The sequence below is a fragment of the Homo sapiens genome, chromosome 10 (assembly GCF_000001405.40).
Source record: "Homo sapiens chromosome 10, GRCh38.p14 Primary Assembly".
Lineage (NCBI taxonomy): Eukaryota > Metazoa > Chordata > Mammalia > Primates > Hominidae > Homo > Homo sapiens.
Genome location: NC_000010.11, coordinates 71,439,340 through 71,467,068, shown reverse-complemented (window position 1 = coordinate 71,467,068; position 27,729 = coordinate 71,439,340). Strand labels below are relative to the sequence as shown.

The 27,729-nt window shown below is 52.8% G+C and overlaps 1 protein-coding gene across 5 annotated transcripts in view, besides 4 other annotated features; it reads right to left on the bottom strand.

Annotated features, from left to right (window-relative positions):
* Positions 1 to 27,729, bottom strand: part of CDH23 (cadherin related 23) — a 419,028-nt gene that overhangs the window by 348,879 nt on the left and 42,420 nt on the right. For all 5 annotated transcript variants that reach the window (NM_022124.6, NM_001171930.2, NM_001171931.2 and 2 more), the window contains exons 2-3: positions 27,171 to 27,242; positions 20,674 to 20,751 (exon numbers count right to left, since the gene is read on the bottom strand). In NM_022124.6, coding sequence (NP_071407.4) covers positions 20,674 to 20,751; positions 27,171 to 27,237 — 145 coding nt within the window. In that variant the 5' untranslated portion in view covers positions 27,238 to 27,242. The remainder of the gene's footprint in view (positions 1 to 20,673; positions 20,752 to 27,170; positions 27,243 to 27,729) is intronic.
* Positions 576 to 1,297: an enhancer, noted in NCBI's record as "H3K4me1 hESC enhancer chr10:73225529-73226250 (GRCh37/hg19 assembly coordinates)". NCBI's record gives its function as "activates a minimal SCP1, AML or CMV promoter by ChIP-STARR-seq in primed H9 embryonic stem cells {active_cell/tissue: H9 hESC(primed)}" and the evidence as "EXISTENCE:reporter gene assay evidence [ECO:0000049][PMID:30033119]".
* Positions 3,670 to 3,861: a silencer, noted in NCBI's record as "fragment chr10:73222965-73223156 (GRCh37/hg19 assembly coordinates)". NCBI's record gives its function as "represses an EF-1alpha promoter that drives an FKBP-Casp9 reporter gene in an ReSE screen in phorbol 12-myristate 13-acetate-treated (for megakaryocytic differentiation) K562 erythroleukemia cells {active_cell/tissue: K562(+PMA)}" and the evidence as "EXISTENCE:reporter gene assay evidence [ECO:0000049][PMID:32094911]".
* Positions 24,451 to 24,836: a transcriptional cis regulatory region, noted in NCBI's record as "silencer region targeted for CRISPR/Cas9 deletion". NCBI's record gives its function as "negatively regulates CDH23 gene expression in K562 erythroleukemia cells {active_cell/tissue: K562}" and the evidence as "EXISTENCE:knockout evidence [ECO:0001091][PMID:32094911]".
* Positions 24,563 to 24,727: a silencer, noted in NCBI's record as "fragment chr10:73202099-73202263 (GRCh37/hg19 assembly coordinates)". NCBI's record gives its function as "represses an EF-1alpha promoter that drives an FKBP-Casp9 reporter gene in an ReSE screen, or a PGK promoter in conventional reporter assays, in K562 erythroleukemia cells {active_cell/tissue: K562}" and the evidence as "EXISTENCE:reporter gene assay evidence [ECO:0000049][PMID:32094911]".

Here is a 27,729-nt window from a genome sequence, read left to right as displayed (position 1 = left end):
CCTTTGGCTCCACAAAGAAAATAGAGGCAATGTCCTTTAAGTAATGACAACCCTGAGTAGAGCACACCCATCCCTGTGGGGCTCACAAGCTGTCTTTTGCTCTCCCTAGATTCCAGCCTTATAATGAACAGCAGTCTCCAAGGCAGTCTGCAACCCCACAGATATATGCACGTGCACACACACACACACACACCCCTCATGCTGTCTTGTCAATGGGCGGAGATTTTCCATGTGGGTTGCTACAAATATATAGAAGAAGCAAAGTATGAAATAAAGGTGAAGTCACACACTCTTAAACACATACCACGCAAGAAGGCAGAGGTGTGTTTGTAAGCGGGACACCACCCCACAAACACATCAGTACCTACACACACACACAAATGTGGACAAGGACGCACTCACATATGCACATACACACAAGCAAAGATACACTCGCACATACACTGTGAGAAGGGACACACACTCTCATATACACATGAGCATGGACACACTCACACATGCACACATGTGCAGGGACAAACACACGTGGGTAGGCACACACACTTTCACTCACACATCAGCAGGGACACACGCATATCCGTGAGGTGGGGCACACTCACACACTCTCACATGCACATGCATGTACACTCACACATGGGCAGGGGCTCACACACACAGGCAGGTACACATTCTTACTATCACACACGGGCAGGGACACACATGAGCACACACACATGAGCTGGTACATACACACATGCATGCTCATATACATGGGAAGGGACTCACACACATGGGCAGGTATACACGTTCACATATGTGGGCAGAGGCACACTAACATGTGTGTATACACATGCAAACAGGGACACACTTCACATGCTCATACACACGTGTGCACATGCACACACACAGACGGGCACATACACCCACAGTCTCTCCCTTTCTCAGACACACACCTATACACACACAGGGCACACCCCTGCAAGGGGTGGCCCTGGAGTGGGTGAGAGGAAGCAAAGTCTCTCTTGCTTTTCCGGAATGTCCTGCCTGCGTTGAAGCCGTCCCTGGGGAGCAGCAGCAAGAGCCGCCCAGCACAGGCCGGGGTGACGCACAGGCTCTTTTGAGACATCACCTTCCAAACACCCTATTCCTCCCACCCTCCGGAGAAAAATTATGACTTTCTAGGGAGGATATTTTTCCTCTCTGGTGTTTTCTTCCTCTCCCCTTGTTCAGTACCCGGCACTAATTTATGACTATTTTTCCAACTCCACTGAAGTAAGAGGGTAATGGCTTTCGGCCGTTTGCTTTCTCTCACCTGTCACTCAGCGCGGCTACCTGACAGGACTGCAGACAATGTTCCAATCACAGGGTTGTTTTTTTCCCAGGGAAGCAAAGAATTCATAGTAGCTGTGGGGAGAGTTATTTCATTCCTGGACTGAACAGCGTCAGGTAAACAGCGGTAAAAATTCACGGCCAGCAGGGCTGCTCTGGTTGAGGGGTGGGCCTATCAGCCACGGGGGCACCCCCCTGCCCTGAGCTGGCCTAGCCAGAGATCCAGACCACTCGGTGGCACTCGATGGCTCAGGGCCCTCCGTTTCTATTACCCAGGCCACTCGAGGAGTCTCTCGACCCTGGGGAGGTCACACTGCCTCTTTGTACCTCAAATGCCTCGTGGCTAGAGAATGTCCTTTGTCTTAGGGATAGGGGATGATAGCTAGGCATTGAGAACACTGGTCAAGACCACAGGAGCTCCTTCAGGGGCTGCCTGCCCCCAGCTGAGTCACTCTGGGCAGGTAGCTGAGTCTGTTTCTCTTTTATAAAATACAACTCTATACCAGCGCTGTGCAACAGACTTCACTGCCATTATGGAAACACTTTCTATCACAATGCCTAATACAGTAACCACTCAACACATGTGGCTGCCCAACACCTGCAGTGTGGCCAGTGTGAGTAAGAAAGTTAACTCTACGTTATTTAATTGTAATTAATTTGCATGTAAAGAGCTACACGTGGCTAATGACTACTGTATTAGCTCTAGACTTTTCTGCATGCCTGAAGTATCTCACACTGAAATAAGTGGAGATAGAATCACTGTGTCTTCATCCTAGGTTGTTGTGAGGACTGAATGAGATCATGCATACATAGTCCTGGCACCTAATTGGCCCTCCATAAGTGACAGCTCTCATGAGCTCTATGGGACACAGTCAGAAGGACAGGAGAAAGGGGGACTGGATTTGAACTTAGGAGTGTCAGAGTATAAGGAGACTTCACAGAACTTACTTTCCTGTCATTAGTATTTGATTTAACTGATAAAGAGATCTAGCTTCCACCAGTAAGAGGCACATGGGAACACATGAGCTGGGCCAACAATCAGTCATCCACAGGAGGCCTGCTGTCCTGCTCTACCCACTCACTCCCACTCCCACCAGCCCCCTCCCCACCACCCTGACATTGGCATCATTGGGAACTGACAGCAAGTCATCCACCCAGGCTCCAGCATAGTGGGGCTGAGCAGAATTGCTTCCAGATGAGACAAGTCCTCATCACTGATACCTGGTGGGCCTCAGAAGACCCCTCTTCCTTGGAGCCAGAGCATCCAGGAAGTGCAGCAGGACCAGTGGGGGAATGACTGCTGGACCATCTTCTCCATCCCTGCAGGTAGGGAGACACAGACAGGCTGCCTTGGATTTCAGTCTTGGCTCCACTGTTAACTAGTTCTATGATCATGGGCAAATTCATTGTTCTTTCTGAGCCTCAGTTTCCTCATCTGCCACACAGAGGCGGACATAAATATCTACATGATGGGTTATCATAAAGATCTGATGCAATAATGTATATAAAGCACCTGGCACCTTATAGGTGCTCAATAACCAGGTGCTGCTATTACTCTGTCATTATTATTATTAGCAGGTAGCAGAACACCTTGGTTAGGAGGATGGGTGCTGGTGCCAGACAGCCTAAGTTCAAATCCCAGTCCCACTCCCATTCACTAGCTGCATGATCTTGGGTAAGTCACTTCAACTCTGTTTGCCTCCATTTTCCTATCTATAAAATGGGAATGATAATTGTACTTTCCTCACAGGTTGTCATAAGGATTAAAAGGGCTTATAGTAGTTATGGATGGAGAGCAAGTCCTATAGGTGTTGATTTAGTGAAAATATTCTAATGGGGACTCCAGGGATTGGGTATTGGGTAGAAAACATCTACACCTTCCTTACAAAGAAGTGGCCAGTGTAGGGAACCCCAGCAGGCCTAGGTTTTGATCTGTTGATGGCAGGACACTGCCCAGATGGAGAGACACAGAATGAGAAACTCAGCCGACAAATTTCAGGCAAAACAGGTGAAGTTCTACCATGAAGATGTCTTTGATCTCTGGGTCCTGGCTCTCAGACACCCAGGGAACTTCACACCCACTGATGCTTGGTAACAAGAGAGTCACTGTCCTAATTTACAGACAAGAACACCCTGGCAGGAGAGATGGCAGGTAAGGGAATACTAACTTCCCCCACCCTCCCTTCAGCGATCCCTGCTGAGCACTCCCTCTCCCAGCGCTGTGGGGACCCAGAGAGGGGCTCCTGAGAAAGGTGCCTTCTGGAGCAGGAAGAATGGCAGGGGATGCGGGGTGGCCCTCAACCCATTGTTCATTACTCTTTTAATGGGCAGAGGACTGGGCAGAAAATAATTGGATTTCAGGAAAGGAAAACACTTCTTGGCAGCCGGGTGCGGACAGGCTGGGATTTACTGGCCTTGATGGTGTGCCAGACTCTGTGTTGGGCATATGTCACATGTCATGTGCCATCTCACCAAATGAGGGTACCAGGCTGGAGCAGGGACAGGCACCCTTGGGCTCCCGGGCAGCCTGCCTTCTTTCTCAATATGGTCCCGATCTAATTTCAGAACGCGGCCTCTTTACTGCCATTTCTCAAATAGACTCAGATATTTATATTTTGGGAGCTAAGAAGCAGTACCAGTTTTCTCATTGACACATTTCTAGTCAATCAAGTAGGTAATCTAGGTTGTGAAAATATACGCCCCCCTCCCCATGGCATTCAATGAAGCGATTTTCATTTTAGACGGGGGAAATGCAGCCGGTAAGCATTTAAATTTTCCTGAGTTGGCCTTTAGGCCAATGAAGAGGTTGTTCACTCTTGGACCCAGGCTCTCTGAGGGTGGAGGCCTGGCCCAAAGAAGCACTCCCACGTGTATCTTCTGGTTGCCTGTGTCTGAAGATTGAGTGGGGACTGAGGCCGACCTAGGACTGTTGACATATGAAGAGCCTTTGCTTCTGAAAAGCACCTGTGCAGGCAGGGGCAGGTGCGGCTTCCCAGGTACAACAGGAGTTGCCATCCTGATCACTGAGCACCTGGTGGGGGCCAGGCCCTGTGCTGGCCACATTTATTATTTCACTAAACAATCAAAACAGATCTGCAGAGAATGCTTGACCAGCTCCATCTGACAGATAAGAGAGCTGAGGCTCTGAGAGGTGACAGAACCACCCCAGGTCTCTGCATGCGTTAGGGCAGAGCCAGGGTGCAGAGCACTTTGCTCCTTGGCACATGGCCTCTCACGTCACACTGTGAGTGTGGTGACCGGTGGCTTGACCATTCACTCTTGAGGACAGCGGGTTCACTGGCTTCAGAAGCCCCACTCTTCCTCCTTCTCCTCCTCCCTGAAGCCCCACTTCCACTGACCCACAGCTCCAGCAGGGCTCCCTCTAAAGCAGATGGCGGTGGGGCGCCTGAAGAGGGAGACAGTTCCTTTCTCCTTAATTGACTGTAAATTGTTCCAGAGTCTTTAATGAAGGCCGTCAGGAGTAATTATGTCCACTGCTGCACCACCACTCTGTGTAAACACACAAGGCGGGGCCGGGCAGGGGCGAACTGCACTGGGCATCTCAGCACCTCGCCTCCCGGGCCTGCCTTCCCCCATGGGCCCCCTCTTAATTCACACATCTGCTATCCGATGATAAGCCCCAGCTGAGCTTCAGAGACACAGGCGATGTCTCAGGCAGGGGACTCTCGAAACGACCAGGTGGGTCCCCAAGCCCAGCATGCTGCCCAAAGGGCAGGCGCTGCCAGGAGCTGACCAGGCGGGTGATGGAGGACTCACCCCAGACTCATGGAGCCAATTCAGGAGGCTAGGAAGCTGCATGGCCAGGGCAGCGGTCCTAAGTGGCCCAGCCACAGCAACATTACTGAAGAATTTCTTGGAAATGCAGATTCCAAGAAGCCGGGCACTGCCAACATGAGCCCACACCCCAGGGGTTGGACTATAACCTTGGTGCTGATGTGTAATGAACGCTCTGACTTTGCACAAGTCACTAGCTTTTCCTCATTATAAAGTGGGGGTGAGGGTGGCCTTCGGGGTTGCGATGAGGACCTAATGTGTGGGAACACGGCACAGGGCTTGCAAGCCACTCTCAGCCCAAGTCGCGGTGGCCGCGCTGTCCTGTGAGGTGATGGACCGTGCATGGAGATGTACAAGCATGGAGGAGACATGGATCGTGCAAAAGATGACAGAAGGCTGGTGCACCACTCCCAGGGCAATGTCTGTTCAGGATCACCCTGGCGCTGTTCTCCAGACTCCCGCTGTGGGGAGGCCCCTGCTGTCCCTGTGTGTCTCCCGTCATTCCCTCTCCAGACACCTCTTCCGGAGAAAAGGCTTCCCCAGCCTAAGGCTGTCACAGCCCAGGATGGATGTCTTGTGGGCTGACAGGTACTTAAGGCATCACCCATAGAACTGGCCCTTTCTGTGTGCCACACCCCATGCCAAGTCCCCAGGGGACTCCGAGGGAGAAAGGCCATCATGCCCACTGTCAGTGTGGTGCACACTACAGGCCATCCCACCTAACAAGGCTCAAAGACATGGGCTCGGCCTCCAAAGAGTTTGTGGTTTGGACTCTTCCCTGTCTCCTGATGGTCCCCTAGAATACTGTGTGGCTGCAGGGGTGGAGGGAGCAGTGGCTGATTAGGACAAACACCCAGGGTGGACAGAGTTGAGCTGAACTGAACTTCCAGGTCCCCACGAGGGGCTTTGCTTCCCTGGCCTCATGCCTCTGTGTGTACTGTTTCCCAATAGTGCACTAAGTCCCTGCACTACAGATCCTTTCTGATATCCCAAGGAATATGCAGAGGTGGTGTCCCTAGTGACCAGGCTGGGCTACTCGTCGGGGAGACAGGTGTAAGAAACCAAAGAGATGTGTCCACAGGCTCTGCCCACTCACTTCTGCTCTTCCTGGACTGTCCAAGGCAGCCTGGAGCAAGGGACCACAGCAGGAACCAACCAGCTGGCCACTACCGCCCCAACTCCACATTCAGGAGCAGGACAGGGCAAGAGACGGGGCTGGGATGAGCAGGATGGGAGGGACAATGGTTGGCACCGCGATGAGGCTGGAAGCTGATTCTTGGCTCATGGATGGGGCGAGCAGGGTGTCTGGGCCCTGTCGGACTGCTCACTCCAGAGTGTGGGAGACAAACGCCGCTCCTGGCCCGTCAGGCCTGAGTTATCTACAACATAGGGTTTCTCCAGAGAGCTCATAAAGCAGCCGATGCGGCAAAGCAGGTTCAACACTCAATAATCTCTCCATCTCACTCCAGTCGGACGCCAGCATATTCATCTTGAATTATCCTTTCAAAGGCCAAATCAATCCTAGCAAGTGTGCGGGTTCCCGCCGCACACAGTCCTGCTGCCAAGAGAGCCCAGGAAAGGAGGGCCCACAGGCGGTGCTGTGACACCAGGGCACATCCTCTCCCTTGCCCAAGGGCACACGGCCAGAGGGGACCAAGGTTGGAGGATCTTGTGCCCTGTCCACCGTGTTATGAAGGCAAGTAAGGAAGATGGTAGGTGGGGACCCTGTACCAGCCCCTGGGCTGGAAGTTTCTCCTCTTCATCCACTCTGTTCTGTGCCAAGAAGAGTAAAGCATTGGTTATGGAGAGAGAGAGAGACATGTGGGCTTGAATTCAGCTCAGCAGCTTAATGCCTATGAGCCCTTGGGTGGGCAGCAACCTCTCTAAGCCTCAGTTTCCTTGTCTGTAAAATGGGCTCCATAACTACCTCCTTCATGGGGCGTTGTGAGGATTAAATGAGTGAGGCACACAAAACATCCCTAGCACAATTTCTGGAACACAGGAAGGTGACCAGGAGGGAGAAGTTGGGCCAAGTCTGTGGATAAGGACCAGCTACAAGAGCTGGCCACCTCTAGAATAAAGAACAGCAGACTTAGGAAAGCCCTGCAGACCCTGGAGAGCCACCGTATGAAGAAGAACAGGCTGCCTCCAGGGAGCTCTGGGGCTGGCCAGGGGTAGTAACAGCAGGAGGCAGTCAGCCTGCTAGTAGCAGGTGGTGCTCACTGCCTGCTGAGAGGTAGAGTTGCCCGCTGCCAGGGCCCACCAGCGCTTGCACCACCTGTTGGTAGGCAGCTGCATTAAGGGGATTCCTGGTTAGGCTAGGAGGTGGGCCCAGGAGCCTCTAGGCCTCTTCCTCCTGGAGAGTGAAAATGTCCCTTGGAAGAGTAACGCATCAAACCACATCACATATTTACGTGGCAGCACAGTGGGCTTTGGCCACATAGAATATCATTCCTGTCCCCGAGCTGCTTCTCACCTAGTTGGGAAAAGCACTGGCCGACAACAGCACCACCGCAAATAATAATAGTTAACTTCTCCTAGTGCTTACTATTTGCCAAGCACGGTTTAAAATACCTGACTTAACCAGGCACAGTGGCTCATGCCCCCACTTTGGGAGGCCAAAGTGGGAGGACTGCTTGCGCTCAGGATTCAAGACCAGCCTCAGCAACACAGGGAGACCCCCATCTCTACAAAAAAAATTTAAAAAACAATTAGCCAGGTGTGGTGGCACACACCTGTGGTCCCAGCTACTTGGGAGGCTGAGATGGGAGGATCACTTGAGCCCAGGAGGTCGAGGTTGCAGTGAGCTGTGATCTTGCCACTGCGTGCCAGCCTCGGTGACAGAGCAAGACCCTATCTCACAAAAAAAAAAAAAAAAAAGGCCAGGTGTGGTGGCTCACACCTGTAATCCCAGCACTTTGGGAGGCCAGGGCGGGCTGGATCACAAGGTCGAGATCGAGACCATCCTGGCTAACACGGTGAAACCCCGCCTCTACTAAAAATACAAAAAATTAGCTGGGCATGGTGGCAGGTGCCTGTAGTCCCAGCTACTTGGGAGGCTGAGGCAGAAGAATCGCGTGAACCCGGGAGGTGGAGCTTGCAGTGAGCCGAGATCGCGCCACTGCACTCCAGCCCAGGAAACAGAGCGAGACTCCATCTCAAAAACAAAAACAAAACAAAACAAAAAACCCTTACTTTAATCTTACTTTAATTTTACTTTAATTAACTTACTTAATTCTCACTGCAGCTCTATTAGTAAATACAGTGTGATCATTATCCACAATTTTGAACTGAGTAAACTGGGACAGAGAGAGGTGAAGTAGCTGGTGATACAGTCCACACTTGCTAAAGATGCAAAGGAGGGCTTCTTGGAAGAGGAAGCATTTAAAGATGAATTGCTCAATAAAAACAATGTCCACCATTTGTACAGCTATTTCACTTCTAAAGCTCTTTCATTAGCTCCCTATGAGGTTGTCCAGGCAAGTATGATCATCTCAATTTCCAGAAGAGGGAAACGAGGTTCAGAGAGGTTAAGGGACTTGCCTGTGGTCACACGCTAATAAGTGGCAGAGCTGGCATTGAAACCCAGGCCTTGTGCCTCCCACTCCATGCACTGTGCTCAGATGTGGAAAGGAGGAAGGGAAGGCACATGGGTGAGGGGACCTTCAAGGAAATCCTTGCACCAAAGAACAACTTTCCTGGCCATCCAAGCCCTTTCTTGGTCAAGGGCTGACAGAACAACTTGATCTCCTATTCCAGACAAAGCTGTTGTTGGACAGTCAGGCTCACAGGTCCCCTGAGGGGTGTAAAGAACAGTCCTGATGAGGGGAGTGATGACAAGTTCAAAGTCGGCTCTGCCTGCCCGTCTCCTCAGCCAGCTGGAGGGTATTCAGCTCTTGTAAATTACACCTTTGCCAGTTACTAGGGAGTCCAAGTGTTCTCGGTTGGCTGCAAGCTCAGCACATCCTCGTCCCAATGGCACACCTGTGCCAGGCTCATGTGTCAGCCCCCCACCCCTGCAAAGGGGGTGCCTGCTTCCTGGCCACTGCACAGCTGGACGAGACCCCCACCGCCATCACCACTGGTCACTGGAAAAGGCTGTGGACCCAGGAGCAAGCAAGCTGACTAATCTCATACTTTCATCTATTTTCCCCAAAGTCATTTTCAGCACTCTTGCTAACTCTGCATAGTATATCCAGCAAGGAATGCATCTTCTGAGAAACAGGGAAGCAAGGGCTGAACAGGGAAATTGACTTGCCCAGGCTCACACGGTTGCATAGGGGCAATGCCAGGCCTGGGACTCAGGCACCGGCCCCAGTCCGGGGCCTGGTCTCCCAGATTGAGCTGGGCTGGCCAACCTCCCCTCCTTAGGAGCAGCTGCTCCTTCACCCAGCACCTGCCCCATGTGGACCCTTGGCCACTGAGGCTCTTTCCTAGGTAACAGACTGAGGAAAGACCCTACACAATCCTGGGAGGCAGCATTGCAGGGCGGTAAGAGTGTGGTCATTGGAGATTGAATACGTGGAATTCAAATCCTGACTCTACTGCTTACTGGCTATGGGACCTTGGGCAGCTTGCTGGATCTCTCTCTGAGCCTGGAACAAGGTGATCGTACTAGAACAGATTTCCTGTCATCACTGTAAGGGTTAAACAAGATTGTGCAGGTAACCTAACTAGTAAAACACAGGGGCTAAATAATTACTATTGTTATTTTCATTTTTAACCACAACAACTTCAAGACACAACACAAATTGCTTGCCTCACAGCTGGTCAGCCTGTTCCATTGCCTTCTTGTGAAATGCCTCCCCTCCAGCTTCAGCCTATCAAAACCCAACCAATCAAGGCCACCTCTACTATGAAGATTTCTCTGTCCCTGTGCCCAGGATGAGTTTCTTCCTCCTCGGGGCATTAGCAAGGCTCTGTAGTTCATGCCTCCCACTTGCCTGGTGTGAGGTGGTCATTTACCATTGGTTCTCTTCTCCACTCCAGACTGGAGCTCCTTAAAAGCAAAGACCTACATACAGAATCCCAGACTTGTGGTTAAGTGCACAGGCTTTGGGGCCAGAGGGCGATAGGTTCAGGTTCAATTTTGACTCTACACAAGCTGTGTGAGCCTGTGTGAGTTACTTAACCTCTCTGAGCCTCTGCTCCTCAACTGCAAAATGAGGGTTATAAGACTCACTTTTTTGCTGTTAGAATTCAACGAAGCAATGTGTATGAACGGCTGATCTAGAGAGATTAAGTATGTAATAAAAGCTAGTCACTATTTCCCCAGTTATCTCTAATGTGCATGTCCCTACCCCACCCCCCAGCACAGGCTGGCACAGGTGTTCAGTGCCTGGCATTAATGGCATGCTCACACGACAGGTGGCACATCATCATTATCATTAGTGTTATTATGGCCGCATCCAAAACACCAGCCCCGCCCCATACCCACACCTGTGTGTTGAGGGGCAGTCCATAGCCGGGGCTGCCACAGGCTCCAGATGTGCCCAGACAGGGACCGCTTGGGAGTGGCTACAGCCCAAAGGACCCCCAAGAAGACACAGTCTGTTCTATCACCTTAGAGGGCCTATGCTGCCCTGGATAATGGCAGAGAGGAAGCAAGGACGCAGAAGCACCCAAGCCCTCCTGGGGGTTCTGTCAGTCATCCCCCAACTCCTAGAAGGGAGAGAAAAGTCCTCCCTTCTGTGAGGGCACCAAGAGCCCAAAGCCCTGGGTCCCTTGGTTCCAGCACCGATCACCTGGATGGATACTAGATCACCTCCTTCCTCCAAAACCACAGCCCACTTGCCAACAGCCCCAGGAAGCCTCCAGGCTACCCTCCCTTCCCCTCCTTAAGCGCTCTAGCTCCAGATCCCAGCAGCTGCGAGGCACCTGGAGACTCTTCTCCAAACTTCAATTCCCGAGCTCACAGCCCACCAACCCAGGAGGACGCCCCTTCTTGCCCAGGCCTGGAGGCACCAGTGACTGCCTGGACAGAAACCCTGGAATTCCCTCTGCAGCTGGTGTGCGAAGTCAGGGCAGCTGCAATCCGGACCCCAGCAGTAACTCACTAGGGACCCTGGGCAATCGCCCCATTCTCCACCTCAGTTTCTCCATCTGTGCAACTGTTTGTCTAACAAAGTGGTCACAAACTGTCCGACAGGAGGCCCCAGGGGTTTTTCATGGGTCCTCTGATTTAATATAGGAGTGAATGCACAGGTGGAAAATACAGGCTCTTTCACCCCTCACTGCTACCCGTGACTTTAATTTCTACCAAAGATGGTTCTTCTTCCTTAGCACCTGTTACAATTGAACATACTGTATATATTTTTTTCTATGCTGCTTTCTGCCTGCTCCCCGCTCTAGAATGTCAGTTCCATGAGGACAGGGATTTTTGTCTCTTCTGTTCGCATGCACAATACCTGGAACAGTGTCTGATGCATAGAAGACACTCAAGGAAACATTTGTTGAACGAATGAATATAAGTATATATGTGCATCTGTCCGTCTACCTATCTATCTATCTAATCTATCTATCCTAGACTTCTGGGCAAGATTACATTTGCCCAAACAGTTCCACAGCTTAAAAAGAAGTTTAAAAATCATCTTAATTGCAGAAAAAAAAAACATTAGTGGGAAAGTTGATAAAATTTGCATAAACTCTCATTAATAGTATTACATCAAAGTCATTTTTCTGGTTTCCATAATTGTATCATGGTTATGCAAGATGTGAACATTATGGGGAGCTGGGTGAAGGGTATATGGGAACTCTGTACAATTTTCAACTTTTCCGTAAGTCTAAAATTATTTCAAAGTAAAAAGTTTAAAAATAAAATAAGGGGCCAGGTGCAGTGGCTCATGCCTGTAATCTCAGTGCTTTGGGAGGCCAAGGCAGGAGGATTGCTTAAAGCCAGGAGTTCGAGACTAGGCTGGGCAACATAGCAAGACTCCTATCTCACACACACAAAAATTAAAAATTAGCCAGGTGTTGCTTCATTAGCCTGTAATCAGCTACTTGAGAGGCTGAGGTGGGAGGATCACTTGAGTCCAGAAGTTTGAGGCTGCAGTGAGCCATGATTGCGCCACTGCACTCCAGCCTGGGCAATAGGGATCCTGTTTCTAAAAAAAAAAAAAAATAAAATGTAAAAAAAATATAGTATGTATTTATTTTAATATGTGTTAGGAAAAGCCAGTCAGCATCTCAGCCCTGGGATTTCACTCTGATGGTAGAAAATGGACATCTGTCTTTCTATGGAGGTGCTGTGTCCAGTTCCACCCCTCCTCTTTTTGGAGACTGTCCCATTGGGTGTAGCTGGGAGGGGCAGACAGTCACTATCCCCTGCCCCTTTGCAGCCTGAGCACAGACACATACCCAAGTTGGCTTGGCCACCTGGACACTGCTGCCCGTGCCATGAGTGGTAGAATTCATTCAGAGTGACAGCAGTGACCGGCTGGACAGATTGGCCAATTTCCAGTCTAGGTTCTTTTGTTGTGGTCAATTCCAAGAGCCTCCAGCAGCCTTCCAATAGAAAGGACAGCCAGAGGCAGTTTCTTCAGCGGGCAACCAGGAAGCTTGTCTGACACATTAAAGTTTCCTTTCGAAAATATGTTTATAGGAGCTTAAAAGCAAGCGAGCGAGTTTAAATTACAGCTTGGATTTCTATGGGCCAGACACAGTTCTAAGGGTTTTACAATTTGCTCGTTTAATATTCACATAAACCCAAAGAGGTAAACTGAACGTTATTCCCATTTTGCAGAAGAGGAAAGTGAGGTACACTGCTAGTAAGAGGCAGAGCTGGGATTCACATCCAGGCAGTCTGGGCCTCACTTTCTCCATCTTCAAAGTGGGAATGTTTGATAAAAACAGTGGCTCTCAAACTACAAGTCCATCCTGGGCCCTCTGAGAACACTTCAGGGGAGGGTGAAGGCAAAGGTGGACAATACAGACTGTTACACCCCCACTGTCTACCTCCCATCTTAACTCCAACCAAAGTTGATTATTTCTCCTGGGCACTTATTATTGTCTAACACCCCCTATATTTTTTTTCGTAGAGCTGATATCTATCAGGCTATACCACCTCTGTGAACACGGTGGGCAGAAAAGCCCTAACTATGCAGACAGCACACACCCAGCTGATGTCCGGGAGCCACTGGACTCCTCCCATCCCCGTCCCTTTAGCCCCACAATTCCTGTGGCTTTGCCACCAGCCCTCGCTGTGGGACAGCTCTGGGGTACCATGACCCCTCTCACCTGTGTCAATCTTAAGCAACCTTCTGGTTAAGAGAAAAATAATTCTCCCACTGTGGTTCTCCACCCTCTCCCAAGAGATGCTTCTCCTCTTTAAAGGGACATTGGGAGGAGGTTTCAGGGAGGAGGGACAGTTCCTTCTGGAGCACCAGGGCTGAAACTAGTCCCAGAAAAGTCCCCAATGCCTCCCAGACTCCTCTTTCACCTATGCCTCCGTGCCTGCCAGCATCTATGCTCGTCACTCCTGAGCCTTGGCTGCCCACAAAGCCCACCATCTGCCCTCCCTGGCCTCCCATTCAGCTCTACAGGGGCTGCTCCTGCGGGGAGTTGCCGGCCTGCTTGCAGGCGCACCGCTCCTCCGTCTGCAGAGACTGCCGATGCGGGGTCAGCCCACCTGAAAACTGCTCTCCCTGGGTCCAGAAGAAACAGCTGGGCATTGATGGAGTTTGGAGAGAAATTAATCAGCACCGACTGGCAGCAGTGCCAGGCGCTGCCTGGGACCAATCCATCCTAATGAATCCCGGGTTCCCACCTTAATGGCTCTTGACAAGACTAATTTACTCGTGTAGGTGATTAGCATGGCATGATCACCTTAATTGTGGCTTAAGATGCTTTTGGGGTGCTGGTGGTTCTGGCTGGGGAAGTCAGCTCCATGTGTACCAACCTCAGTGACAAAAGGAAGGACAGGGAGCCAAGGGGAGGGGACCCAGCAGGACATCTGACATCCACTCACCCATCCACTCATCTACCCACTCACCCACCAAGCACTTGCTGAGGCCGCCTTTGTGCCAGGCACCATGCTTGGTACAGAGATGGAGGCCCAGCTTGTTCCTCTGTCAAATGCAGATCATGCCATCTCTCCAGGACAATCACTGCAAGGTCTCACAGGAGGCCATGCACTTGAAGTGCCTAATAGAGGCTCGGGCAAGAGGCTGGCTGTCAACAAACCATAGCTCACATTAGCACTCCTCAGTCTTGTATAATAGAGACACTAAAATCGCTGTTAATTATAATGTCAATATTAATAAGATTAATAAGTAAAAATTAATAGACCAATGGGGAGTTCCACACAAATAGCCACGCTAGAGTGTGCTGAGGGCTTTCACAGATGCAGACAAAGCCAGCAGAAGGGCAGGCTGGGGAGGCTTCAGAAGCCTCTAAGCACAAGGGACATCTGAGCTGCAGCTTGAAAGAGGAGCAGGACTTTGCCAGGCAGGGAAGGGAAAGGGCACCCCTGGCCAAGGAAACAGCATGGTTGAGGGCACGGCAGTGCAACAGTGTGCGAGGTGTCAGTGCTGGGGGGCAAGGTGTCTGTGGAGAGTGGGGGCGACTCGCTGAGATACAGAGCTCTACTTCTTCCTGCAGGCACTCGGGAGGCTTCTGGCTGCGGGCGGTTACCACTGTGGCAGGAACCCTGCCCCCCTCCAGGGCATGGGGTATGAAGGTGGTGGCCAAGGTGCAGGGCCTCAATGCCCTCCAGGATCCCTTCTAGACCCCCTTGGTCAACTTGGTGTCTCCAAGCCAGGCTTCATGCTGCTACCTCTGCGTTCTTCCCCCAGGGCCAGCCATGGCTCAGGGCCCCAAGGTCCCCGGCAAATATTCTACATACAGCTCAGGCGGGCAGCTGGGATGATAAAAACAGGACCTCTGGCACAGCGCGGGCCTTGCCGTTCACAAGCATAGGCACGTACAGCATCTGTGCCATCTGCGGGAAAGTGCTCTCCTGGGCCCACTCCCTGGGCAGCCATCCCCATCGCCACCAACACCTCGCTCCCGACATGCCCTGGGGAGGGGAGCGCCTGGCCTGAGGCTCCAGGAGGGATGTTGAACAGGGCATGGAGCCAGCCCCCGGGTCCTGCCTTGGAAGATTCCCCTACATGCTCACCAAGTCCAGACATGCACTCCTTCCCTAAGTTCCAGGCGCACACCAGGCGCAGGGCTAGGCCCTGGGGACACAGTGATGGCCAGGCCACCTGGAGGCATTCACAGGCCAAGAAGGGAGCCAGAAGAGCAACTGAGTAACAGCAGCATCTCCATGGGGCTAACAGAGAGGATGGCCAGGCCCCGGAAAAAGCAAAGGGAGCAGCACTTAACCCCCAACAAGGAGACCCAGGAAGGCCACCCAGAGGCGGTGGCATCTGAAAGAGCCTGGTAAGCGCAGGTTCATAATGTTCCAGGTAGCAGGAACAACAGCTGCAAAGACCGTGAAGTGGGAGCTTGCCTTTCACACTTAGGGAACTAGAGGGAGACCAGCACAGATGAAGTAGAGCTAGCGAGGGGGATAGCGGGGTGGGGGCGAGGTCTGACAGGTGGCAGGTGCTGGGCTGCAAACAGCCTGGTTGCCATTGAGGAACACGGGCTTTTACTCCGTGTGGGAGGGAGAGACTTGAGCAGGCCTTGGAGCAGGCTCTGCCTCAGGCTGGGCAGGGCCATCCATGGCTGGGATAAAAAAGGCCGCAGCGTGGGTGAGGGCCGAGTCAGGGAGAACACTGAGACCTGAGGAAGCTGCTGGGGTAACTGGGCTTGGACCTTGGTGATGGGAGTGGAAGGGCCGAGAGGTGAGAAGATTCTGGGATGATTTTGGAGACTGAGCCAACAGGATGCCCTAAGGGATGGGAGGGGAGGGGAGGGAGAAAAAGAGGCACAGGAATGAGTCCCAGCTTTTGGCCTGGGCAACTGGCAGGATGGAGCCACAGCTGAGATGGGGAAGGCTGCCGGTGAGGCAGGAATCTGGGGGAGGTCAGGATTCCAGCTTTGGACAAACTGAGGATGAAAATGTCCCTTTAGACATCAGGCAGAAATGTTGAGTAGAGAGGTGGCTATAGGAGTCTGGAGTCTTCCCTGAGAGCAGCCCAGACAGAAAATATAAAGCTAGGAGTTGTCAGCATATAGGTAGTGTCCAAGCCAGGAGGCTAGATGGGACCACCACGGGAATGAGAATGAGGAGAGGAGAGACAAGAGCTGAGCCCTGGGGCCCTCTGATGCTAAGAGGTGCGGGAGGAACCAGCAGAGAGGCTGGGAAGGGGCGGGTGGTGTCCTGGAGGAGAAAAAGATCAACCAATTGAAGGCCACAAGGTCTGGGAAGAAATGATGGGATTTAGCAACACAGAGGTGGTTGGTGATCTCGACATCAGCAAGGCTGGTGGGGCATTTCAAGTAGATTCAGGGCAAGACGCGGTGGCTCACGCCTGTAATCCTAGCACTTTGGGAGGCTGAGGTGGGTGGATCACCTGAGGTCGGGAGTTTGAGACCAGCCTGGACAACGTGGTGAAACCCCGTCTCTACTAAAAACATAAAAAAATTAGCTGGGAGTGGTGGCGTGTGCCTGTAATCCCAGCTACCCAGGAGGCTGAGGCAGGAGAATCACTGGAACCCGGGAGGTGGAGGCTGCAGTGAGCCAAGATTGTGCCACTGCACTCCAGCCTGGGTGACAGAGTGAGACTCCGTCTCAAAAAAAAAAAAAAAAAAAAAGTAGATTCAGGAGGTTAAGTGGGAGACAGCACCCCTGCAGCACCTGTCCCTCATGCTAAAGGCATCATGTGACCATTCAGGGCTGATAGGCAGGGCCAAGGTGTGGGTGAGGCCAACCAGCCTGACCAGGGACTGAGCTGCTGATCTGCCCTCACGCCACTCCACGCATTCCAGGCTCTGCTGCCAACAACTGATATTAACGTCTGGAGCAAGACATGCAGGGATTCAGGGCCCTGTCTGGGGAAGCAGGGCGATGTGAACAGACCAGGAGAAGGCAGCACTAGTTAATGACTTCATTTGGCTTCTGTCTTCTCCGGCTGGTAGACGGTCTTCAAAAAGAACATTACACAGAGGGAACTGGAGCCTGAGATAGGTGAGGAGATAGTAATGAACACGTAGGCTCTGTGAGGGATTTCAGATGGCCATGCTGTGCCCTCCCATTCTGCTCCCAGGCCACTGGCCCCCTGTTGGAACGCAGGCAAGAGCATACAAAACGAGAAGGCTCAGAAGGTTGGGGGTGGATAAAAGTCTCAGTCTCTAACCCAGGAAAGCACATTCACAGAAGCTACATATAGATAGACCCTGTAGCCCAACTCTACCTCTGATTCTTAAAAGGAATTTTTAAAATGAATTAATGCATAAAAACACTTAGGACACTGCCTTGAACAGTCAATAAATGCTGTTGTTATAATAATTTATGATATATCTATATATCTATATATATAGTATGTCATATGTGTTATATTATCATTTTTAATCTATGAGGCTCCAGCAATCAGAATTAGACCCAATGGGTAGTTCCAGGGAGGCAGGTTTCCTGTTAATCTTAGGAAGAATTTTTTCTTCCTGGAACCGTCCCACAGCACAGAGTGAGCTGCCTTGTAGGCCCACGAGCTGACCATCACTGGGTGTCTAAGGAGAAGCCAGGTAATGAGGCCTCGAGCTGGAAGTTTGATCTGCTTACAACTCCAACCTCTGGTGAGCCGACACGGTCAGCCTGGCTTGGGCTCTGCCTCTTGCCACTGGCACTGAGCACCACCCTGGACCCAGCTTATCTGTGTGTTTGTCCACCCTGAAAGCCCATGGCTTGTAGGACAGCCCAATCTGCCATCCCTGGGCCACACATGGGCTCTCCCTTTAGTAAAAACAAAACATTCCTGGGTTGGAAGCTTTAGAGGTGGTGGTATTGTATGTAAACTTCCCAACAATCCAGTGAGGGATCCAGTCACCCATTTTGGTGACTGGAACCCTGAGTCAAAGAGTGAACAGTTCATGAGAGCCAAGTCTCAAAGTCAAGTCTCTAGACCACCCCACTCCCCATGGCAGGAAAAAGGCCAGTCCCCTGGACAAGCCATTTCAACCTCCCCCTCTCCCTGGCCTGCTGGTGGGAGGCCTGCACCCATGGAGCCCACACGTCCATGTGAGTCCATACCCACCATCTGCTTGGCCCAGGGACAAGTGGGTGCCAGCACCCAGCAGAGGGCTCCAGGCTGGTCTCCTCTGAGAACCTAGAAACAACTGGGGCCAGCCAGGCTGCCCCAGCCAAAGTCCACTGGGCTCATCTTTCCAATGCCCACTCATTGTTGAAATGAGGAGATAGAGGCCCAGAGAGGTGCAGTGCTGTGCCCAAGGTTACACAGCGAGAAACAGATGTTGGGCTCCTGACTTTCAGGTGAAAGCTGTGCTGTTCCCATACTGATGCAAAAAGAAGAGAAGAGGCTGGGAGGGCGCTGAGGCAGCTCCGCACCCACCCCCTGCCTAGAGAGAAGAGCATAGCTATCTTCCAGCTCACTGAGCCCCCTCTCAATCCTATGGCACCCTGGAGTCAGGGATCAATCCCCATGGCACTAGACAGCCACCCTGCTGTGACTGCCAAGTGCAGCCTTAACAGGGCTCGAGGCCTGGGAGCTGCTTCCGGAGGCCGATCGATGCTGGCGTTTGCAAAAGACAATCAAGAGCCAGAGCTGAAGGCAGCAGGAGAAGGACCTGCTGAAGGGCTGGCCACATGGGCTTCCAGCCCGGGCTTGTCACCATCAGCACAGGCCATGCAATGCCCATCCCTCCCCAACCCATCCCAATACATAGGCCTCTGAGGACCCCACGCTCAGAACCTGGCATGCAGGTCACAGATGTGGGGACAGAGCAGGGACCACTCACTTGAGAGGGGCCTTCACTTTCCCCAGCCGGCAGCAGGGTCAGTTAGTGACTGGCCACACCACTGCCTCAGTGGCCCACCTGCTCCAAATATATCCCTCCACCACAAAGGGATCTCCCAGAGGATGAGATTTAAATGGACATGAATAATGATAAATGCTGCTAACAGCACATCCATCTGCCTAGACACATGCACTGTGTGCTGCTATGTTGGCTCCATGCCAGCCCCACCCCAGGTCTGGGTGGAGAGAGGAGTCACAGGTGAATTCCACCCAAAGAATACAGGTGTGTTACAAGTCCAGTCGTCCACAAATATCCCTCAACCCAATCCAAAGGGGAGCAAACAGCTTAGCAGGGTCCCCAAGGGACGTGGGTATGCTCTCTACCCCCAGAAAGGGGCTCTGCCTATGAGAGGGCATTCCAAAAAGGCAGGAACCTTCTTCCTGGGGAGCCCTCAAACACCCAGATCCCCAAACCCTACCCCCAAATCTAGCCTTACAACACTGATCTATCACCAAAGGAGTAGCCGTTTTCCACAGAGGGCCCCCCACAGCCCCCAGGAACAAAGTGCTACTGGGCCGTGGGGACAATCCCCACAACAAACAGCCAGACACACACCTGCTGGGCCCAGCACCCCCTGAAAAAAAACCTCCACCAGGAAGAGTGAAAGGCGCTGCTCACAGGCCCCCACTGACAGCAGGGGAGAGTCTGGGCCCGCGTAAGGCACCCCACTGGAGCAGAGATCGTTGAAGAATTATGCATCCACTCTACTGCACACCTACACTGGGTTTCATATGAAAGAGTGTGTACATGACCTATTAGGTAAGCATCTTGATACCCCGCCCCACTCCGAGCCATCCTGCCTCATTTCCAAGTTCAAGTGATGCTCCCTAAAGATGCACCATGCTGACCCCTGATGCACTTGGCCTCTGGCACACAGGCCTGCCTTTGCACATGTAGAGATGGCAGACCCGAGAGTAAGAAGCCCCGGATGACAGGCACTTTCCCTAAAGTGACACCAGCGAGAATGACATGACACAGGAGGGCTGTCGGTGGAGGTGGGCAGGCCCTTTTCAGGTGCTGCTGTTTGGCTGCCTGCACACGGGCACAGGTGCCTCCCCATCAGCACAGCTATAAGACAGCTCCTGCAATTCAGCCTCAGTTTCCTGAGAAGCTTCTGGGTCCTAAGAGCTGAGCTAGGACAATGGGGCCACAGATGTAGGAGGCAGGCCCTCAGTAGGGGGCCAGACACTGGGACAGACCTGAGTGATGGGGCGACGGGCTGAGCACCAAGATGTTTATAATCACCCCCTAAATAGTTCATGTTTTTTCTAATGCCAAAGCCAGGCAAACTCAATGCAGAAAACTTAGTAATCACAGAAAATTACAAAAGGCCACAAAACAAAGTCTACAACAGCTGCCATCTTCAAATATTCACAAGGCCTTCAAGTGCAAGAGGAATCCAAACTAGTGCCAGAAGTGGGAGTGGAGCATCTGAGGCTCAATGTGATAAACCCTTTGACGTTCAGAGCTCCCCTCTGTGGGACTGAGTGCCCTGTCCCTGGAGGCATCCTAGCAGGGGCCTTTCTACACAATGGAAAAGATTCCAAAATCAGGTGGAAGATGACCTCAACCTGTAAGATCCCCTTCACTTGTGGGAAGGGATTGCACCCCAGGCCATCTGCACGCCCACCAGCCCATGCCCCCACTCACCCACAGGCGTGTCCTCGCTGATCAGCAGGTATGTATCAAAGAAGTGGTTGGTGAAGAAGGGCAGCCGGTTCACCTGGCCTGGAAGTCAGAGGACAAGAGCGTCAGCCAAGTACCCCCCATCAGCTTTACACACTCTATAAGGTGACACAGGGTGAGGGCTGCAGTGGGCACTGAGCCTGTGTCCATGGCCATGGTCAACTTCCCAGGACCCTGGAAGTCACTATCCTGCCTCAAGGCAAGTGGGGGACAATGCCAGTAGGTCGGCAGGCAGCTGTCTGGTGTGTGGCAAGTGAGGCCACCGGCCACACGTGCCTGCTGAGCATGGCCCACATGGAGCAAGCACATGACAGGGGCTCCTCAGGCAAAAGACAGGATTTAGAAGCCTCTGTATGAAAAAAATTAGTGTAAAATAGCTCACTGATCTTTTACATTGATTATATATTGAAATGATTCTATTTTGGATATATTGGATCAAGTAAAATATATGATTAAAATGAATGTCACCTGTTTCTTTTTAATTTGCCGATTTTTTTTTTTTTTTTTTTTTTGAGACAGAGTCTCACTCTGTCACCCAGGCTGAAGAGTAGCAGTGTGATCATGGCTCACGGCAGGCCGGACCACCCAAGCTAAAGCGATTTTCCTGCCTCAGCCTCCCAATTAGCTGGGACCACAGGCATGCCCCATGCCAGGCTATTTTACTTTATTTTTTTTGTATAGATGCAGTGGGGAGGGTCTTACTATGTTGCCCAGGCTGGTCTCCAACTCCTGGGCTCAAGCAATCCTCCTGCCTTGGCCTCCTAAAGTGCTGAGATTACAGGCGTGAGCCATCGCACGTTGTCTCTTTTTACTTTTCTAGTGCGGCTCCTAGAACATTTAAAATCACATGTGGCTTGCATTGTCTTTCTATTGGGCAGTGTGGCTCTAGCAGAATATGAGCTCTGCAAGGACAGGGCTTGGTTGACGGGTGGAACCCTGGTGCCCAGAACAGGGCCTGACACTTAGACAACCCACAAGACGATTTGGTGTGTGAAGGGATGGCCAGCTGATCCCACAGAATAATAACGATGATGATAATAGCTGCCATCTCAGGAACCCCTTCTCCATACCAGCTATTTAAACCACCTCACTCAATCCTGATGGCAAGGCAGGTGCTATCACATCCCTATTTTACTGGGGAAAATGAGAACTCCAGGGCATAAGTAACATGCCTTGCTTTCACAGCTGGCAAGTGGCGGTGGCCATCCAGGAAGCCAGACCCCAAAGCTCGTGCTGTTAACCACGTGCTGCTCTGTGATGGCTTCAGAGCGGGCTGGGTCTGGAGGGGGTCAGGGTGATACCTACATGGGCTGGGGAGCTTGGCACCTATGAGGAGCCCCCACATGAAGTTTCCCTGAGCTGACCCCACCTGTCCCCCAGCTTCTCTTAGGGGCCTTCAGTAGGCAAGTGAGGGCACTTCCCCTCAGTCCCTCCCAACCAGGAGGCAGCTGGTCTAGCTGGAAGTGGGACTGTCATTGTGCAGCACCTGCCATCAGGGGCACCTGCTCAGCCCTCCAGGGGCCCTGAGTGTGGGTGTATGGGGCAGCTCTCTCTCCCTTCCTTTCTGCTGACCCGGGGCTCCCTCAGAGCATGTGCCAGGCTCCCAGAGGGTGAGAAGGTTGGCATCTGGGTATGGCACTTCCTCCTCCAACCCAAGATGCCTCCTAGTTGGGACCAGGCAGAGCTGGGAGACTGGCCTCTTTTCCTCCTCCCCACCTCGATGTGCTCAGGCAGCCAAGCTGATGCCATTTCTAGTCCCTTATTCTGCCCTCTCTCACTTACTGGCCAGGACCGATGGCCCTTCTGCCTTCATTTGCCAAATTCCTATTCATCCTCCAAATCTCATTTCCATTGGCCCTTCTTCCAGGAAGCCCTCCCTGACCACCCCAAATACTCACATGCACCCACGTACACACCTCCCCAGTCTCCTGTCAGGAGCACAACAGCCTCAGACAGAGGTGGTGGTCAAGGGCCTCACCTTTTTTGAAACCTCCCTGTGCCTCTTTCTAGCCACATGATCATCCCATGTCTCAGTTTACCCATGTGTAAAATAGCCATAATAATAGGACTTCATGGCTAACCTGAGGATTAAATGAGATTACATACATAAAGCGCTTAGCGCTGTGCCACTGGCACACAGCAAGCACTCCATAAATGGTAGCCAGTATTAACAGTGGTATTAATAAATACGCTGCCTTTGCAGCCGACGGGAAGGCTTTTGATCCCTGCTGGGGGCCTTGGGCTCAGGATACAGGAGAGCAGGACGCAGCCCAGCCGAGGCAAATGAGTGCCCAGAGAATTCAATAGCTGCTTTGGGCTGTTGAGGCCAGGAAACCAGTGAGGAAAAAAAATCACCTGCAGTGGCATCGTTCATTTCTAAATTTTACTTTACAGGGCCTGCCACTAATCAGTCACTGGGAGCTCTGCACAGACAGCTAGGCAGACTCCGGGACGTGGGTCGCCTGCCACATACCAAACAGGACCTGTGTTCCCAGAGCAGGCCCACCACAGGCGGGGCAGACAGGTGACTTATTCTCAAAGCCGCTGTTAAAGCGCAGCAGCTGTGTGCTCAGCAGCTTTGGGGCCTCCAGCGAAGCGGGAATGTAAGTGGATGTAGAAGGGGAGGGGCAGGGGGTGATTTCTTCGGGGGAAGGAGAATCCCAGCTTCCCAAGTGCAGGACCCCTCTCTCTGTCCCAAGCCCCACGTGGCCCACCCCATTGTGGGTCTGTGGCTTGTGAGCACTGCCCTGAGCCCTCTCCCGCCCTCTCTGCCACCCCCATGGCCATTCCCCAACTAGAGCCTGCAAAGGCAGACCGGGAGGGCATGTGCCTGCTTTACTTAGTTCTAGCACCCTAAGGGGCCTGAGGAGAGAGGGGAGAGAAGGGCACAGAGAGGGCACAGCATTCCAGCTGCCTGCTGAATGACAAGCATTTCCCACACACAGGGGTAAACAGAGGCTGGGTGGCGGCATGGAGGTGGCATCCAGGGGACCTGATCTGGGACTGAAGGGACGTCGGTGTGCTTGTATGGGGAAGGTCCCCACCGGATCAGGGTGGGCCAAGCCAGGAAGCATAAACTTCACCCTGAATTGCGGGGTGGGGGTTCCTCTGAGGGCATGAAGAACCCAGGCAAGTGGAGGGTCCAGATTCCAGCCAGGCCAGTCTGAGTCCAAGCCCCGGTCGCCTCCCCAGGCCTCAGGGCGGTGGTGGGGGCTGAAGGTGCAGTGGCTCTGCTGAGATCCCTGCTGGAGAGATCCTCAGAGTGCCCCCGCCAGTCGCCCCTTGACAAGGAAGGCGCACTGGACAGGGAGTGCAGGGATAAATTCAAGGAGTCAGGGACTTTGCATGCTCTGCCACTGCTGCTGGGGAGCTTAGGCAGATCCCTCTCCCTCTGCCTCGCCCTCCGCCCCATTTTCCAGCCTCAGGATGGGGACAAAAAGCCCTGCCCTGCCCTCCAGTCCTGCCTCCCGGCCACAGGTGTCCCATGCACCCTGGTCACCATTGAGGTGACTGCAGCGTGGCCCACATGAGCCCCAGGGGACAGAAGCCTGACATGTTGTCGGGTGGGGAAGCCAGGTGGCCGCATGGTCAGAGGCCTCTCCCACCCAGCAACTGGGGACAGAAGGAGTGACCCAGCAGAATGCTTGCTGGCTAGTCAGTCTAGGATGGGGTGGGGCAGGCCTGCCCAGGCCTTCGCTTCCTGCCTCCCCAACAAGCCCACGGATGAAGAAGGAGAATTGCTAGAGTACATTGAGGCCAGAGGGGAGAAGGGCAGGAGGCTTCAAAGAGAGAAGGCAGGCTGGCAAGGGGTTTTGAAATCCCTGAGCCCTACCCATCCCTGACTACCAGGTAGGGGGGTAGAGATCGGCTGGGGTGACGGGGTCAGGTGGAAACAAAGTGGCGAGGGCAGTGTGGTCTGATCTGGGGCACAAGTGAAGGGCTAGGTCAGGGGTGTCTAGAGGGCCTGGGAAGGTGGTTCAGTCACCCACTCTCCCCTAGTCTCTAAAGTCAGCCACTGCCCCACTAGGCCAAAGGAACAGCACTGGCTGCTTCAGACAGGGACCAGAAAGAGGTGACTGTGCCAAGCAATGAGAGAGTGAGGGACCCTTGTGCGTATGGCAAAGCAGGCTAGTCCACATGCAGGCCGACCATACACGCTTTGGCATAGAATTGCTGGGTGACCTTGGGCAATTTGCTTAGCTTCTCTGTTTTCTATGCCCCATTTTGCTCCCCTTAGAGAAAGATAACTTCTGATAATAAAGGAGCCAACACTTAATAAGCACTTCATCTGTGCCAGGCACTATTCTAAGTGCTTGATGTACAGATTAATCCATTTGATCACTTTGACAACCTGAGAAGGAAAGTCCTATTATTGTTCCCATTTTAAAGACAAGGAAATTAAAGCACAGCAAGGTTAAGACACTCGCCCAAGGGACCCCTTAGCTGGAGCGGGAGTGGAAGACAGGAGGTCAGCTCTGGCTATACACTCTGTTCTTGTCCTCACCCTGAATGCACGAAGCATCTTTCATCTGGAGAGCTCAAGGGGAGACTGCCGTGTCTCACAGAGGAAAGCAGCCAAGGGCTTAGCACCTCCTTTATTTCTACTGATGTATTTTTTTTTTTCTTTTTTCTTTTTTTGAGACAGAGTCTCACTCTTTCACCCAGGCTGGAATTCAATGGCACAATCTCGGCTCACTGCAACCTCCGCCTCCTGGGTTCCAGCGATTCTTGTGCCTCAGCCTCCCAAGTAGCTGCGACTACAAGTGTGCGCCACCACCATGTCCAGCTAATTTTTGTATTTTTATTAGAGTTGGGGTTGTGCCATGTTTGCCAGGCTGGTCTTGAACTCCTGACCACAAGTGATCCTCCCACCTCTGCTTCCCAAAGTGCTGGGATTATAAGCAAGAGCCACCATGCCGGGCCAAATGTATTTCTTTTTAACGGATGAAGAAAGTGAGTGGAACAGAATGGGGGAGGAGGGTGGATCCCAGGTGGCAGAGTCCCCGGGGAGGCTGAAGAAAGTGTCCTGACTCCCACCGTGCAGCGAACATGGAGGCCACGGCTGCTCTCAGGAGCCCCGATTGAAGCCTCCCACATGAGGCAGGGGGGGAGCGGGGTGAGGGGGGTGATATCCTGACAGAAGCCCCCATGGAGGATAACAGACCCCTGCTTTGTACAGCCTTGGGCCAGTAGCTTCTCCAGGGTTCGGTGTCTCCTCTGTAAAATGAGCTGGGAGTTAAAAAAGCGCCTGAGGCTCCCTTGCACTCTGAGAGTCTTTGAGACTGTGCTGTACTCCTGGGCTGCCTGGATGGGAGTGAGCTTCCCATCACAGGGGGGATTCCAGTAGGGATCCCTTCAAACATGGAGGCAAGGAGAGGGAATCCTCGAGGGATACTCAGGCTGCAGGACGCTAGCAACACTCCAACAAGCACGAGGCTGCAGCAGCCTCCAGAGACTCCGCCTGGCTCCCTGGAGGGGAGAAGGAGCTGGCCCCCCACAGGAATGTGTTTGCGTGTGTCACCAGGTACACCATGCCCACGGCTCTTCTCTGGGGATGCTATGGCCCTGGGGGATGCCACATCAGGCATGCCTGCTCTCCTGGCCTGCCTTCAGTGCAGCCCAGGGCTGCTTTGCTCCCCACCACCTGCTGTCCAGGGGCCAAGCGAGAAGCAAATGCCCAGGCCTCTCCTACCCTCCTCCGTGGGCTCTGGAGCTGGCACTCTGAGCTGGCTGCTGGAAGGCCAGGAAAGGAGGGCAGAGGGGAAGGCTCCTGGCTGCCATAGCTTTGCTCAGACTATGCCCTCCAGCAGGACGCCTTTCTTCCTGCTCACCTAGTTTAAAACTACTTCTTGGTCTTCACAGCCCAGATCAAATGCTGACCCTTCTGGCTGGGTTTCTCCTGTCCCCTCAGGCCCAATTCATCTTTTCTTCCGATGGACATCCCTGGAGCCGCGCCCATCTTTCATTACCACTCTATTCACCCTGCAGTATAGGAAATCCTGCATGTGTCTTTCTCCCCTGCCAGGCTCTGAGCTTCTTGAGAATGAGTTATTTCCTCCATTCCCTCAGAGCTGGGTGCAGTAGGTCACACACAGTGCAAACAGTAGGTGCTCAGAACACAGCCGTGGAACTGAATAGAGCTGTGGCCAGTCCCTGCACCCCAGGAGGAGGACGGTTCACGGTCACAGGTGCCTCCTTCCCTTAGAGCTCAAGTATTTCTCAAGGCTCCTCCCATTCCCTCTTGTGTCCCAGGCTTTGGGGACAGCTGGTATTTTCAGCCCTGTGAGAGCTGCAGAAGGCAACTGAGGCCCAGAGAGGGAAGTATGTGCCTCAGTCACACAGTAAGACAGTGTCTCCAGAGTCCCAGAGCACAAAGATGAACCACCAGCCCCAACACCCTCCAGCCTGGCCTCCCGTGCAGAGGCTGCCCATGGGATAGACACGGGGAGGACTGGACTTACCCCAGCATCCAGAGATCAGCACCAAAAGCCAGGCCACGTGGCAGCTGGTGGCAACATGGCGCCCCATGGCTCCTGGGGACACAAAGAAAGAGAAGAGGGTGAGAAGCTTCCTGGGTGGCAGAGGGTCTGCTCCTCAGCCCCTCCCACCTCTGCAGCTCCAGAGAGAACTGGGGCTGGGAAGGGAGGAGAAGGAATCAACCCAGATGGAGGGTTTAGGAGCACATGGGAGAAAGGAGAGGGTCTGTATCATTTGGTTTTAACATTGTCCTATCCTGGGTATAGCACAGTGGCCTGTGAGTCACTGGGTGAGGCTGGGGCCTATTGGGTCCTCTTTGCCCTCCTGGGGGACTGGCTGTCCTGCGAGGGGACTCTGGGCAAAGAGTGACATATTCTAGGCCCAGTAGATGGAGGCAGGGGCTGCTGCCTTCAGCCTCCAGGACCACATCCCCCAAGAGTGACAGAGCCTGGTTATCCTGAGGACAGCATTGAGGAGATGGGCACTGACCGGGAAGACAGCGGTCTAACAGGGGGCTTGGCAAGTCCAACAAGCCCAATCCCA